This window comes from Homo sapiens, chromosome 6 (genome assembly GCF_000001405.40).
Source record: "Homo sapiens chromosome 6, GRCh38.p14 Primary Assembly".
Lineage (NCBI taxonomy): Eukaryota > Metazoa > Chordata > Mammalia > Primates > Hominidae > Homo > Homo sapiens.
The window spans coordinates 76,600,410-76,616,711 of record NC_000006.12 but is presented as its reverse complement, the minus strand read 5'-3'; positions in this window follow the sequence as shown (position 1 = coordinate 76,616,711).

Sequence of the window (16,302 nt, the reverse complement as noted above, 5' to 3'; positions counted from 1 at the left end):
CTAGCTGTACCTGGGACCTTGGGCAAATGCTTACTGTCTCTAAATGCATTTTTTTAATTAAAATAAAATTGTACAGACTCAGTTTATTTAACACATAAATAGTTTTTGTACACTTACTATATACTTGGCACTGTCCTAGATACTCAGGATACAGCAGTAAACAACAGAGACAAAAATCTCTACCTTCATGAATTTATATTGTATTGGGAAGATATAGATCATAATCAAGAAAAACAAACAATATGTACATGTGTAAATGATGGTAGATGTTAAACACAAAAACAAAAACTGGAAAGGAATATAGGGATCCCCAACTCATGGAGAAAAAGAGGTATAATTTTAGCTAGGGTGGCCATTGAAGGTGGCATTTCTGTGAACATATAAATGAAGTGAAGTAATGAATCATCCACATGGCAGTGCAACTCTGGCAGAGACAACAAATGCCATGCACATGGCCTGTGAGCTGGAGGACAAGGAGGAGGCCAGTGTGGCTGGAGAGGAATGATGGGGGAAAAGGTAGGAAATAAGGTCAAAAAGGTAGCAGTGGGGAGCAGATCACAAGGAGTCTTGCCAAAAGAACACCGGCTTTTACGCCAGTGAGATACGCAGCAATGGAGGGTCTGAGTGGAGGAGAGGCATGATCTGCCTTCTCTTTTAATTCTCTGTGGCTGCCTCCCTAAGAATAGACAGTGAGAGAGGAAGAGTAAAACCATTGTCTTTCAAGTGAGCATTGAAGAGTTAGGTATTTATTGTAGTCTTTGTACTCTGGGCTTGTTCATATCCATCTTTCTTGGGAAGGGTTTCCAGGTATTCAAAGAGATGTGGGTGTTGTAATTTAAGCGATATATGCATTAGGAGGCACCCCAAACCCAGTAATGCTGTGGTTCTTGCAGACTTGTAGAGGTACTGCTTTGGTGGTCTTAGATAAGATCTGAAAAAAATTCTCTGCATTACCAGACAGAGACTCTTACTCTCTTCCCTTACTTTCTCCCAAACTAATGAAGTCTCTGTCTCTCTGTGCTGAGCCACTGGAGCTGGAAGATGGATGACACAAGCACCCTTGTGGCCACCATCACTGGGACTGTGCTGGGTCAGACCTGAAGCCAGGACAGCACTGGGTGTCGCTCCAGGCCTACTGCAATCACTACCTGGCTGCCATCTATGTTTATGTAAGACCCTAGAGCTCTACAATCAGCAGGCAGGAAAGCCAGATAGGTCTTTTCCTTCAGGGCAGCGAGTTTACCCAGGGCCCAGGAAGATGTCATTCAGGAGGCAGGCACTGGAGTTAAAAACCTTAGAAATCTACCTGTTGTTTTATTCTACTGCAGTTAAGCTGGCACTCGAACCAAAGACAAAGTCCTCCCCATTCTTCCCTCCCCTTTCCACAGGCAGAGTAGCCTTTCCCCATGGCTATTACCACCACAGAGCCACAAGTACTACCAGGCTACTGCTGAGGTTCACTTAAGGCCCAAGGGCTCTTCAGTCAGCTTGTGGTGAAAGCAGCCAGGCCTAGGACTCACCATTCAGAGCAGTGGGATGCTCTCTGGCCCTGGGCATGTCCAGAAATGCTGTCCAAGAGCCTAGAGCCTGCTTGGTGCTCTACCCCATGGTGTCTGACCTGGTACCTGATTTTTGGTTCTTATAAATGTGTTTTTTATGTAGAAAGTTGTTAAATTTGGTGTTCCTGTGGGGGAGATGACTGGTGGAGGCTTCTATTTTACCGTGATGTTCTTCCCTTCCATCCAGAGTATTTTTTTTTTTAATACGGAGAGCTTCTGTAACTAAGCAAGACTTTTCCATATTTATTTTGTAAAAAACCTAGGTGGAAATAGTCTAAAACACATTTTTAGAATCAAGGATCTGAACGTCATGTTTCCTCTCAATGAACACCTGATGGTGAGTAAACACAATGACATATTATAATCAGGCTGCCAGCTTTCACCTTTGTGTACAAGTATATTATACCCAAATGAAATAAAACATGTCCTGAAAATAAGTTTAGTATTATTGATGATGTTGGGGAAATAGAATTAAAAACAAACCCTTCTCTCAACCTAGAAATCTTCTCCACAAAAGTAGCAGAGAATAAAATACTTTGATGATTGAATAAGCATTAAATTTCCATGTAATGCACATCACAGGTAATCTGCCAAGAGACAGAAAAGATAGAAAGAGATCTCACCCTTCATATAGCCGAGCAAATACAATCTATCATATACATATCCTTAAGGGAAACAATGTTAGTTCTCCAGTAAGAGGCCCTGACAGCACCATTTATTTCACATAATTTATCTTAAATTCACCTAATAATTGAAGTTACCATCTGTGTTAGTTAATTGGCTTATACAAAAGAAAAATAATTTTCTCATATCTTTATGAAATTAGGTAGTTTTATAACTTGGAGCCAGGCATCAGCTAAAGTTAGGCTTGTATCCTCCTGAAAATAGAATACAGGAGTGCTATCTTTTTAGGTGTTTATGTTCAAAGGATATAATTCCCAAGTCCTTGAAAAAGACATCTCTGGGTCATAAAACTGACAACCTATCTAGTTTTCAAAAGTATTCATATACAGTTTTTATAAGAGGAGAAACTACTTATAATTTCTAAAATAAATGCACTAAGAAAAAGAGGCGAAGGAAATCTCTTCTTTTCAACAGGGAAATTAAGCCTCCTATATTTTATTTATAATTGTCCTTACAATGACTGAAAGCATTCTGGCCAAACTTACCTATAGAGAAATAAAGTTGCTAGTACCTATGCTAGAAACAAAGGCACAACTAGATAAATTAAAAATTATTTTAGAAACAGTGATTCAGGTGTCAAACTACTATATTTTCCTTAACTGGAAAGCTGATTAATCTTAATGAATTGTCTTCTATTTCTAGTTCAAAGCTTATCCTTTAATAGCTGAAAAATAAAACTCTGTTTATTTAAAATTTATAGACACACATTTCTCTGTCTTTCCTCTTCTGCCTACAAAATTTAGGCCAATTCAGAGACCTCATCTTTTAGATAATCTTTCTGATCTTTTAAAATGGAAAATTAAAACCAAATACTTTGCAAAAACACTTTTTTATTTTCTCATTTTGGCTTTAGCATTATAACTAAAAAAAGAATAAGAAGCTGCAAATTAAGAAAAAAATATTCTACCAAGATCATAATTTGGTACATGGTTACAAATGCCAACTGAAACTTTCTTGTCATTTTGCCTGGTTGAAGTGGAATACAATGGTAATAGGAAAATTTCTTACCTACATTACTATTTGCCTGATCCGCATTTTTCATGCCACAGTTATGAGATGTCAGAGAGTTCATCTTCCCCTATTCTCTCAGATCATTGTAATGCTACTGGGCAGGAGACACTGTCTGCCTCCATCCTTTGCTTCAGTGCTGTCATTTTTCTTTCATTGCTTTCTCTCTGCAGGCTCAATTTGAATGGAAACTAAACCCACTAGGCACTCAGAGTCAATTAACAAGTGATAAGCAGCTATCAGGTCTCAAAAAAAAAAAAAGGCTAAATGGTATTTTAAAGCAGTGAGGAGATGTATGGAAATGCAATACTTTGGTCCAGCTTTTCCCTGTGGGTTTAATCATTTCAATATCCTTACTTAACCTCTATTGTTCTCCCAATATATTAGCCTCTATTATCTGGTTTCAGGCGCCAGGAGGGAGAGTGAATACAGGGGAATGGAAATGAATGCAGCAGTGCAGCAGAGAGTAAAAGAGCTGACAATTTCACCTGTGTTTATAAAGCTGCTTGCTGGTAGGAGTGCAGCTCTAATCATCTGAACACAGCCTAGAAGGATGAGACCACTGGGTTTATATTTATTTTATGTGTCGCTAATATCTTACCTTGTTTATAAAGAAGATTTCAGGTGTATCATGGAGTTGAATTGGCTAATATTGTTTTTCTGATAGTTTCTTAGGCTGCCGGTACATCTGTTCTATCTTTAAAGGTCAGGTTGCAAATTAGGATGAAGGTGGCAAACTGGCTGCCCACAGGTTGCATATGGCCATTGCACATATTTTCTGCGACACAGTGTTTTACAAAAATTAAATTGAAATCCTTTCAGGAAGTGCACAGAAACGTACTCTTTTCAGCCCACATCCCACACTATTGTTTTGCACTCAACCTGATTCACACATAAGTTTATCTGCCCAGCTTATAGATATTTCAGATAGAAACCTCATAATTTTTCAATTTGATTTGGATGAGCCAATAAAGGGAGTTTAAAGCCATGATACATTTCTATTTGATTAATATAAATGTGCTTCAATGGGCATTAGAACATTTCAGGTTTTCGTGTCCTGTATACTCCCTCTCAGTTTACCAGATGGTAAAAAAATGAATGTTTTGTGTTTCTAAATCGGCTCCATTATAATTTATTTAATTTCTCTCATTTTCTACCCAGGAAGGCAGCAAACTGTCATCTTTTTCTGTGCCTTCAAAGTGAGAGGTAACTATTAAGATGTAATTTGAGATTAAAATATATGCAGTCATCCCTTGTTAACTGTAGGGGTTTGCTTCCAGGATCTCCCATGGATACAAAATTCTTGGATGCTAAAGGCCTTGATATAAAATGTAGTATTTGCATATGACCTATGCAAATACTCCCTATACTTTAATCTCTACTTATAATACCCAATACAATGTAAATGCTATGTAAATAGTTGTTATACTGTATTGCTTAGAGAATAATTACAAGAAAATAAGCCTATACATGTTCAGTACAGACACAATTTTTTTCCAAATATTTTCATGTGGAACTCACAGATACGGAGGGCCAACTGTATTTAAGAATTGGATGAACAATAAGTAATTTCCTTTGATCTATTAATCAGATAGTTCAATCTTTATCTTGCATGGCTAAATTTGTGATATATTTTAGCAATCGAGATACGTAGCTACGCAGTCCTGTATGGAGCTGGAAGTGATGGATGGACCTCTCTCAGGTTCTACCCTCTCACCTTATCTACCTGTGCAATTTTACCCCTTAACACTCAAGGGTTTGCATTCACAGTGCTACAATCCAGTTTATTTTCATTCTCACCTTGTCTCTTTTCCTTTTTTTTTTTTTTTTTTTTGAGTTCGATTCTTGCTATGTTTCTCAGGCTTGTCTCCAACTCCTGGGATTAAAAATGACCCTACCACCTCAGCCTTCTGATTAGCTGGGACTACAGGCGGGTATCACCATGCCCTGTTATACATCCCTTTTCATCCTCACATATAAAGTGTTCATTCTACCTAAAATAGACTTCATTTCCCACTTCACAAACCCAGAACTTCCCATCCATCCTAGCTCAAGTGAAACACCACTTTTCCCCTATAAACTTATGCCTGAATAATGTTATCCTCTTCTTAACTTCAGAATTCTAAATTGTCCAGATGTTCCATATGTTTGGCATACACTCAGAATTAGATTTTAAGTTCCTGGAGGTCAACAGCTATATATTTACTATTCTTTTACAACCACCTTACATTACTTTAATTCTTAGGTTATCCTAAAAGAATATACATTTCATATTTACTCTCCTGTTAGCCCATAAACAATCAGTATAATGAAAATATGCCAACTTTTTAGCCTCATTGTCTCCTGAACTGCCACTTATACCAAGAAGGGGCATAAAAATATTTTGTCAGATCATATATCCTGATTTGTGGTTTAGAAAATATAGCTGCCACTCAGCCCTGACTAAAAACCCGCCTAATAACTATGTTCACTACTTGCGTGATGGGTTCATTAGAAGCCCAAACCTCAGCATTATGCAATATATCCATGTAACAGACCTGCACCTATACCCCCAGACCTAAAAATTTTAAAAATTTAAAATACCTTTTTAAACCCACATAATGTTGCTAGTGTTAGGCAACATTTTTGTTGGTTAGATTCCAACACATGGCTCAGGCTGCTTAAACTAATAGTCAAGACACAGAGAAAAACAATTTAAAATGCCATCTTCCTGTCTGACTACTACTTCCATTTGGCCGGAACAATCAGAGTTGACATTGGTTCTCATGTGGGAGTAAGCAGAGCCAGGTTGGTCTCTCACCTCCATTTCCCACCATGAGGTAAATGTCATAAACTACCCACATGTTTTTGTCTGGAAACAAGTTGTGGCTGGTTTGACAGACAATGTGTCTTCTCTCCTCTCATACAGCTGGTTGTAAGTGGTAAGATCTGAGTCTCAGGTGTGACTTAGAGGGGGTGGTCAGTGGGATGCAGTATTCTTTTGGAGGGCAATGCTTTTATGTTCTTGCTAGTGGTAAAGCAAAGGGGAGAATAGTCATATCTTTAGTTCGGTGTATAGCCTCCCAGTCAGTTGAGCAGAGTTATTGCTATTGGAGTTTAGGACCCAAACATTTAACAATAAGTATTATTATACATTTCTTTTTTTTTCTCGGTTTAGATCCAACTCCTGACTTTATTATTATTATTATTATTACACTTTAAGTTCTAGGGTACATGTGCATAACATGCAGGTTTGTTACATATGTATACATGTGCCATGCTGGTGTGCTGCACCCATTAACTCGTCATTTACATCATTAAGTATATGTCCTAATGCTATCCCTCCCCGCTCCTCCCACCCCACGACAGGCCCCGGTGTGTGATGTTCCCCCTCCTGTGTCCAAGTCTTACCATTGCTCAATTCCCACCTATGAGTGAGAATATGCGGTGTTTGTTTTTTTTTTGTCCTTGTGATAGTTTGCTGAGAATGATGGTTTCCAGCTTCATCCATGACGCTACAAAGGACATGAACTCATCCTTTTTTATGGTTGCATAGTATTCCATTTCTAAGCCACTATTCTCTATATATTTAGCTTCCTCAGACATGTAATTGGGATGAATAACTGTGGTGTGTGGCAGGATTTGCCTATTCCTGGGTCCTTCACCAATAATGCCAGCAAAAACATCCTAATTTTTATTGTCAGCATATTATAATATCACAGCAAGATATTTCCCTGACCCCTTCATGGGACTTGCAAAGGGGATGCTCCACTTACTCAGCCTGCAGCTCTTAACTCCTCACGGAAGGGAGCTCACGAGTGAAAAAGGCAGGAACTGGAGTACATGAGCGCTGGAGTCAGCCAGCGCTCTGGCACTGGCAGGAGTGAAGTCCACTCACTCAGACCCACTGCATTGCATCCCTTGTGGGAGGGGGCACACAGGTAAGCAGGTGCAGTAGCCAGGGCGAGCGCTTTGGGGTGCCAGCAGGAACCAACTCCATGCCAGACCCACGGCAGAGTCTGGGGGAGGGACTCTCATGACCCTCAAAGCCCCAGAGGGAGTCTTACAGTGTTCTTTTAGCTCTGCCATCCACAGACAGTATAAGTGTTAACAGCTCAGTGCGCCCTCTGCCTTTTCACATGAGGCAGCTACCTTCCACCAGGAAGGCAAAGGACCAGTGTGACAGCCTTTTGCATCCACACTCATGGCACCCAAGCTTAGGGGATTTTATTGTCAGTGGAGGTGGCTCTCAGTGGAAAAAGAAGCTGAAAAGAAGACAGAGAAGGAAGGTAATCTTCCCTTGAAGTCTTCTCTGAAGTTCCACCATCAAGCTGTCCCTCAGAAGTCAAGCCACTTATTTCCAATGCCCAACCACAGTCTCTGACATCCAGGTACTTCTCTTTCTGCCGGCTGAGTCTGGGGTTTTTTATAGGCACAGGATGGGGATGGGGCTGGTCATGGCTGGTTTTGGAAAAGGCAACATTCAAGCAGGAAAACTGGTTCCCACTTTGAGCCTCAGTCTCAGGCTTTTTGGCTTGAGGGTGGGCCCTCACCATTCCTGACTAGAATTTCTCTGCCTCCTGTCTCTATCATTTATACCAAATACAGCACTATTTGTACAACAAATACTTAATATTTGTTTATTGAAAGTTATGTAACTTGCTGAAAATATATATTTTAGAGTATTTCATAGTAGAGTACAAACTTTATTATTATTATTACTGTTTTTTTTGAGACAGAGTCTCGGTCTGTCGCCCAGGCTGGAGTGCAACGGCAAAATATCAGCTCACTGCAACTTCTGCCTCTTGGGTTCAAGTGATTCTCATGTCTCAGCCTCCTGAGTAGCTGGGATTACAGGTGTGTGCCACCACACCTGGATAATTTTTATATTTTTAGTAGAGCCAGTGTTTCACCATGTTGGCCAGGCTGGTCTCAAACCCGTGACCTCAAGTGATCCCGCAAGCCTCAGCCTCCCAAAGTGCTGGGATTACAGGATTACAGGTGTGAGCCACTGCGCCCAGCCTAGAGTACAAACTTTGTAAAGAGCACAAAGCAAAGACTAGAGATATATAAGATATACTCTATGAAGGGATTTTGTCTAATTAGAAATAGAGGCACAATAGTGAAAAAAGGACTTTTTAGATTATAATGAAGAAAGCTGTATCACAGAATGTTCTGCAAACTAATTTTTTAAGCAAGAAAAATATTCACCATCAACAAGCAAGCAAAGGGTTACAACATAATATGGTAAGCATCTAGCCAAAAGATAAAGACAAAAGTTGCTATGCAACTTTTATTAAGCAAATCCTATTCCTGAGAAGTAAGTAAACTTATTCTAAGAATTTTTATTAATATTCCAAAATCTGAATGGAAACTGATTTTTCACCCTCACTCATATCTCAAAACTCAAAGAAAAACTGAGTAAGCCATGCAATTTTTAACTCTATCTCACTCCCCAACAATGAGTCAAATAATCCTAACAAATCTCACTAATAGCCTAAAATCAGAAGAGAAATTGACAGAAGGAAATAAGCAATTGTTACTAAAGAAAGTTAAGTATAATGGGGAAACTAAACAACTGGAGTTAAATATTTAAAGCATCAGATATTTCCCCATGGCAAACAGCTCCAATAATGTGATGTAAACTTTACTGTAGTAAATTTAACAAACATCTAATGAGGGCCAGTTTTTCAATGGACTGCACAGTTTCCCCTGAGTTCTTGGTTCCCTTATGAGATAGACTGCAACATACCAACACTTGAAACTACTAGGAAAAAAAAATGTGTTTGGATAGGGATGATCCTGTTAATTTAAGTACATGACTGAGACAAGTGGCAGAGCAACCATCCAATAAAACAACAGGCAAAATATAATAGAAAAGAAAGAAAAGTTGTGTGCTATAAACAACAAACTCAGACCAGAAGAAAGCATAATCAAAGGAAACAAAATAAAAGATTGTGATTGCAAAAAATAAGAACACCAGTAAAATGACATAACAATATCACTAGCAGACTAAGTTAGATTTGCAAGCTGCATCTGAAAATCAAATTAATTTTTTATTTCTCTGAAGAATGTCATTGGTATTTGATAAAAATTTCATTGACTTTGTAAATTGTTTTGTTTAGTATTGTTGTTTTAACACTATTAATACTTCCAATCCATGAGTATAGAATATCTGTCTAGATTTGGTGTGTCCTCTTTAATTTCTTCCATCAGAGTTTTAAAGTTTTCCTTATATAGACTTTTCACTTCTTTGGTTAGATTGATCCCTAAGTATTTTGTATTCTTTGTAGCTAGTGTAAATGGGATTGCTTTCTTGACTTCTTTTTCAGATTGTTCACTATTGGCATATATAATTGCTACTGATTTTTGTATGTTGATCTTGTATCCCACAACTTTACTGAATTCATTTATCAGTTCTAATGGATTTCTAGTGGAGTCGTAGGTTTATCTAGGTATAAGATCATGTCATCTGCAAACAAGGCAAATTTGTCATCTGCCTTTCCAGTTGGGGTGTCTTTTATTTCTTTCTCTTGCCTAATTTCTCTGGACAGTATTTCCAGTATTATGTTGAATTAAAGTGGTGAGAGTACACATCCTTGTCTCAGAGGCTGCTGAATATCATAGTTAATGTAGAGGAAAACCATAAAAGTAAAACAATTAAAAAAAATAAGAAGAACAAAAACAACTCAACATAAATATCATTGATTACTAAGATAGAAAGTCCAACAAAGCAGAAATTGTATTCAAATATAAAATAATAATTTGCTTATATATAGTAATAACTAAATATATATATTAAAATAACATGCTATTTCAGAAAAAAATTTGAGAAAAAATATTAAAACCATAAGTATTCTGGGGAAGTTATTAAACTTCAAAAATAAAAATATTTTAAACATTAGGTTAAAATATGGGGGAATAAATCAGACTGGCTTTAGACTTCTTTAAATTAATGTTTATTTGCAAGAGAAATTTTTAAATGCTTCCAAAGTTGTCAAGTATAGAATTATGACCTAAGAATATTATAAGCAGTTAAAGATGCAAAAGTGTTCTTCAATTATAAGTATTACATGTAGGTGTTGTATTAGTTTCTTATTGCTGCTGTAACAAATTACTACAAACCTGATGATTGAAAACAATACAAAATTATTCTTGTACAGTCCTGGAGGCTGGAATTGCAAAATGAGTCTTGTGGGCCTAAAATCAAAGTATCAGCAGGGCTGGTTTGTCTTGGAGTTTTTGGGGGAGAATCCATTCCTCATGTCTTCTAATTTCTAAAGGTTGCATGACTTGGCTTCTGGCCATATCACTTCAACCTCTGCTTGTTTCATCACATTTCTTCTCTCTCACTCTAATTCTGCCTCCCTCTTAGAAGGTCATGTATAATTACATTGGACCCACTTAGAGCTATACAGGCTAATCTCCAAATCTTAAAATCTTTACCTTAACCACATGTGTGAATTCTCTCTTGCCATATAAAGCAATTTATTCACCGTTTCTGGGGATTAAGATGTGGATCTCTTTAAAAGGCCATTATTCAGCATGTCATAGATATTTTAATATGCAAGAACCAAAATCCAGTAATTAAAAAACAAATGAAAATAGCATCCATGGGACCTGATTAGCTGTTTTAAATGAGTAGTGAGTCTAAGTAACTTAAAGATAGAATTAAAACTATGCAATTTTATAGTGACACAGTACACTGTAAATGTCATACACCTTGAAAATTTTTTTTTAAACTATAGCTAAAATTTGGGAGATGGTAGTATGAGGTAACAGAATGTTAAGTTTTTTCAATATTATATCAAAATCTATTAATATAGCCCAAAATTTAAACTTCATAGTTAAAAATAAGTCAAATCCTATCTTTAAAAATATTTTAACCTTAGAGAGTCCTCTTTAAGAAATAATATCACATTAAAAATTATCTGTTGCCAGTTTAAAGTTTATGACTATAAATGTGCTTTTAACATAATCCCATGTTGCTTGGAAGCTGAAAAATAGTTGTATAGTTCTTTAACAAGAGCAATAACAAAATATCAACTGTGTCAAAAGAGATTTTAGCTGCATCTTTCACTAAGAAATTTAAATGTTCGCAAAACGAGCAATATAAAATTACCTATGCTGTATATTTTAATCTCCTGTGGCAATCTATATTTTTCAAGTTTTATTTAGATTCAGGAGGTACCTGTGCAGGTTTGTTACCTGGGTATATTGAATAATGCTGAGGTTTGGAGTACAAATGATCCCATCAGCCAGGTACTGAGCATAGTACCCAATAGTGAGATTTTCAATCTTTGCCCTCCTTCTTTCTTCCCACCTTTTGTAGTCACGAGTGTCAACTGCTGCCATCTTTATGTCCATGAGTATCCAGTGTTTAGCTCCCACTTATAAGTGAGGAAATTGGGTATTTGGTTTTCTGCTAGTGCATTAATTTGCTTAGAATAATGCCCTCCAGCTGCATCCATGTTGCTGCAAAGAACATAATTTCATCCATTTTATGGCTGCATAATATTCCATGATGCATATGTAACACATTACCACATTTTCTTTATCCAATACACCATTAATGTGCACCTAGATTGATTCCACATCTTTGTTATTGTGAATAGTGCTAGATAGCATAGAATTACACGTCTTTTGGTAGAACAACTTGTTTTCTGAAGCTATATACTCAGTAGTCAGATTGCTGTTTTGAATGGTAGTTCTGTTTTAAATTCTTTGAGAAATCTCCAGACTGCTTTCCACAGCGGCTGAACTAATTTACAATACCATCAACAGTATATAAGTATTCCTTTTTTTCCAGAGCCTCACTTACATCTGTTATTTTTTGACTTTTGAATAATAGCCATTCTGACAGGTGTGAGATGATATCTCATTGTGGATTTGATTTGCATTTCTCTAATGATTGGTAATGTGGAGTGTTTTTTCAAATGTTTGTTGGCTGCTTGTATGTCTTCTTTTGAGAAGTGTCTGTTCATGTCTTTTGCACTTTTTTAATGGGGCTATTTGTTTTTTGCTTGTTCAATTGTTTAAGTTCCTTATAGATTCTGTATACTAGCTCTTTGTCAGATGCATAGTTTGTGAATATTTTCTCTCATTATGCTAGTTGTTTGTTTATTCTGTTGATAGTTTCTTTTGCTTCACAGAAGCTCTTTAGTTTAATTAGGTCCCACTTGTCAATTTTTGTTTTTGCTATATTAGCTTTTGAGGACTTAGTCATAATTTGTTTTAGTTTTTTTTTAATTTTTGTAATTTAATTTTAAATTCCAGGATTATGTGCAGGACGTACAGGTTTGTTACATAGATAAACGTGTGCCATGGTGGTTTGCTGCACCTATCAGCCCATCACCTAGGTATTAAGCCCCACATGCATTAGCTATTTATCCTGATGCTCTCCCTCCCCATTGTGTATTGTTCCGCTCTCTGTGTCCACATGTTCTCATTGTTCACCTCCCACTTATAAGTGAGAACATGTGGTGATTGGTTTTCTATTTCTCTGTTAGTTTGCTGAGGATAATGGTTTCCAGCTCCATCGCTGCCCCTGCAAAGGACATGATCTCTTTCCTTTTAATGGCTGCATAGTATTCTATAGTGTATAGGTGCCACATCTTTCTTTATCCAGCCTATCATTGATGGGTATTTGGGTTGATTCCATGTCTTTGTTATTGTGAATAGTGCTGCAGTGAACATACATGTGCATGTATCTTTATAATAGAATAATTTATATTCCTTTGGGTATATACTCAGTAATGGAATTTTTGGGTCAAATGGTATTTCTAGTCTAGGTCTTTGAGGAATCACCACACTGTCTTCCACAATGGTTGAACTAAGTTACATTCCCACCAACAGTGTAAAGGCATTCCTATTTCTCCACAACTACACCAGCACGTGTTGTTTCTTGACTTTTTAATTATTGCCATTCTGACTGGCATGAGATGGTATCTCCTTGTGGTTCTGACTTGCATTTCTCTAATGATCAGTGATGTTCAGCTTTTCTCCATATGTTTCTTGGCCACATAAATGTCTTCTTTTTAGAACTGTTATGTCCTTTGCTCACTCTTTAATGGGGTTGTTTTTTCTTATAAATTCGTTTAAGTTTCTTGTTAAAAAAATTTAACAATACATTTGTTCCTTAAGTAAATTTGTTAAGACTCTGGATATTAGATCTTTGTCAGATGGATAGATTGCAAAATTTTTCTTCCATTCTGTAGGCTGTCTGTTCACTCTGATGATACTTTCTTTTGCTGTGCAGATGCTCTTCAGTTTAATTGGATCCAATTTGTCAATTTTGCTTTTTGCAATTGTTTCTGATGTTTCATCATAAAATTTTTGCCCATGCCTATGTCCTGAATGGTTTTCCCTAGATTTTCTTCTGGGGTTTTTATAGTTTTGGGTTTTACATTTAAGTCTTTAATCCATCTTGAGGTAATATTTGAATAAAGTGTAAGGAAGAAATCCAGTTTCAATTTTCTGCATATGGCTAGCCAGTTTTCCCAGTACCATTTATTAAATAGGGAATTATTTTCCCATTGCTTGTTTTCTCAGGTTTGACGAAGATCAGATGGTTGTAGATGTATGGTCTTATTTCTGAGATCTCTACTCTGTTCCATCAGTCTATGTATCTGTTTTTGTACCACTACCATGTTGTTTTGGTTACTGCAGCCTTGCAATATAGTTTGAAGTCAGGTAATGTGATGCCTCCAGCCTCATTGTTTTTCCTTAGGATTGTCTTGGCTATTCAAGCTCTTTTTTGGTTCCATATGAATTTTAAAGTAGTTTTTTCTAATTCTGTGAAGAATGTAAATGGTGGTTTAATGGGAATAGCATTAAATCTATAAATTGGGCAGTATGACCATTTTCACAATATTAATTCTTCCTATCCATGAGCATGGAATGTTTTTCCATTTGTTTTTGTCTTCTCTTACTTCATTGAGCAGTGGATTGTAGTTCTCCTTGAAGAGGTTCTTCTCTTCCCTTGTTAACTGTATTCCTAGGTATTTTATTGTTTTTATAGCAATTGTGAATTATGAAGCTTGTTCATAATTTGGCTCTCTGCTTGCCTATTGTTGGTGTATAGGAATGCTTGTGATTTTTGTGCATTAATTTGTATCCTGAGACTTTGCTGAAGTTCAACGACCTTTTGGGCTGAGACAATGAGATTTTCTAGACATAAGATCACGTGGCCTGCAAATTTAGACAGTTGGACTTTCTCTCTTCCTATTTGAATACACTTTATTTCTTTCTCTTGTCTGATTGCTCTGGCCAGAACTTCCAATACTATGTGGAATAGGCATGGTGAGAGAGGGCATTCTTGACTTGTGCCGGTTTTCAAGGAGAATGCTTCCAGCTTTTGCCCATTCAGTATGATACTGGCAGTGGGTTTGTCATAAATGGCTCTTATTATTTTGAGATGTTTCATCAATCTAGGTATGTTTCATCAATACCTAGTTCATCATCAATACCTAGTTCATTGAGAGTTTTTAACGTAATGTTGAATTTTATAAAGGCCTTTTCTATGTCTATTGAGATAATCATGTGTTTTTTGTCTTTAGTTCTGTTTACGTAATGATTTACGTTTATTGATTTGCATATGTTGAACCAGCCTTGCATCCTGGGGACAAAGCCGACTTGATCCTGATGGATAATCTGTTTTTTAGTTTTGTTTTGTTTTTGTTTTTGAGACAGAGTTTCACTCTGTCACCCAGGCTGGAGTGCAGCGACATGATCTCGGCTTACTGCCACCTATGCCTCCTGGGTTCAAGCAATTCTCCTGCCTCAGCCTCCTGAGTAGCTGGAATACAGGCAAGTGTCACCACACCTGTCTAATTTTTGTATTTTTAGTAGAGACAGGATTTTGCCATGTTGGCCAGGCTGGTCTCAAACTCCTGACCTCAGGTGATCCACCCCATTCAGCTTCCCAAAGTGCTGGGATTACAGGCGTGAGCCACTGCACCCGCCCATGGTGTATAATCTTTATTATTATCATTATACTTTAAGTTCTGGGGTACATGTGCAGAATGTGCAGTTTTGTTACATAGGCATACATATGCTATGGTGGTTTGCTGCACCCATCAACCCGTCACCTACATTAGGTATTTCTCCTTATGCTATCCCTCCCCAGCCCCCTACCCCTCAGCAGGCCCCGGTGTGTGATGCTCCTCTCCCTGTGTCCGTGTGTTCTCATTGTTCAACTCCCACTTATGAGTGAAAACATGTGGTGTTTGGTTTTCTGTTCTTGTGATAGTTTGCTGAGAAAGATGGTTTCCAGCTTCATCCATGTCCCTGCAAAGGACATTAACTCATCCTTTTTTATGGCTGCATAGTATTCCATGGTACATATGTGCCATATTTTCTTTATCCAGTCTGTCATTGATGGACATTTGGGTTGGTTTCAAGTCTTTGCTATTGTGAATAGTGCTGCAATAAACATATGTGTGCATGTATCTTTAGAGTAGAATGATTTATGATCCTTTGGGTATATACCCAGTAATGGGATTGCTGGGTCAAATGGTATTTCTAGTTCTAGATCATGAATGCATGATTCAGATTTTAGTGATGCAATGTCTAACATCAAAGATCAGCCAAGAAACTTTAGATTCCTCTAGATTCTAGAGGAATCACCACACTGTCTTCTACAATGGTTGAACAAATTTACACTCCCACCAACAGTGTAGAAGCATTCCTATTTCTCCACATCCTCTCCAGCATCTACTGAATTCTGTTTGCCAGTATTTTATTGAGGATTTTTGCATCAGTGTTCATCAGGGATGTTGGCCACAAAAAAAAAAAAAAAAAAAAAAAAGAAGAAGAAGTTTTCTTTTTTTGTTGTATCTCTGCCAGGTTTTGGTATCAGGATGATGCTGGCCTCATACAATGAGTTAGGGAGATGTCCCTACTTCTCAATTGTTTGGAATAGTTTCTGAAGAAATGGTACCAGCTCCTCTTTGTACCTGCGGTAGAAGTCAGCTATATGTCTGTCTGGTCCTGGGCTTTTTTTGGTTGCTAGGCTATTTATTACTATTATTTCAGAACTTCTTATTGGTCTTTTCAGGGATTCAACTTCTTC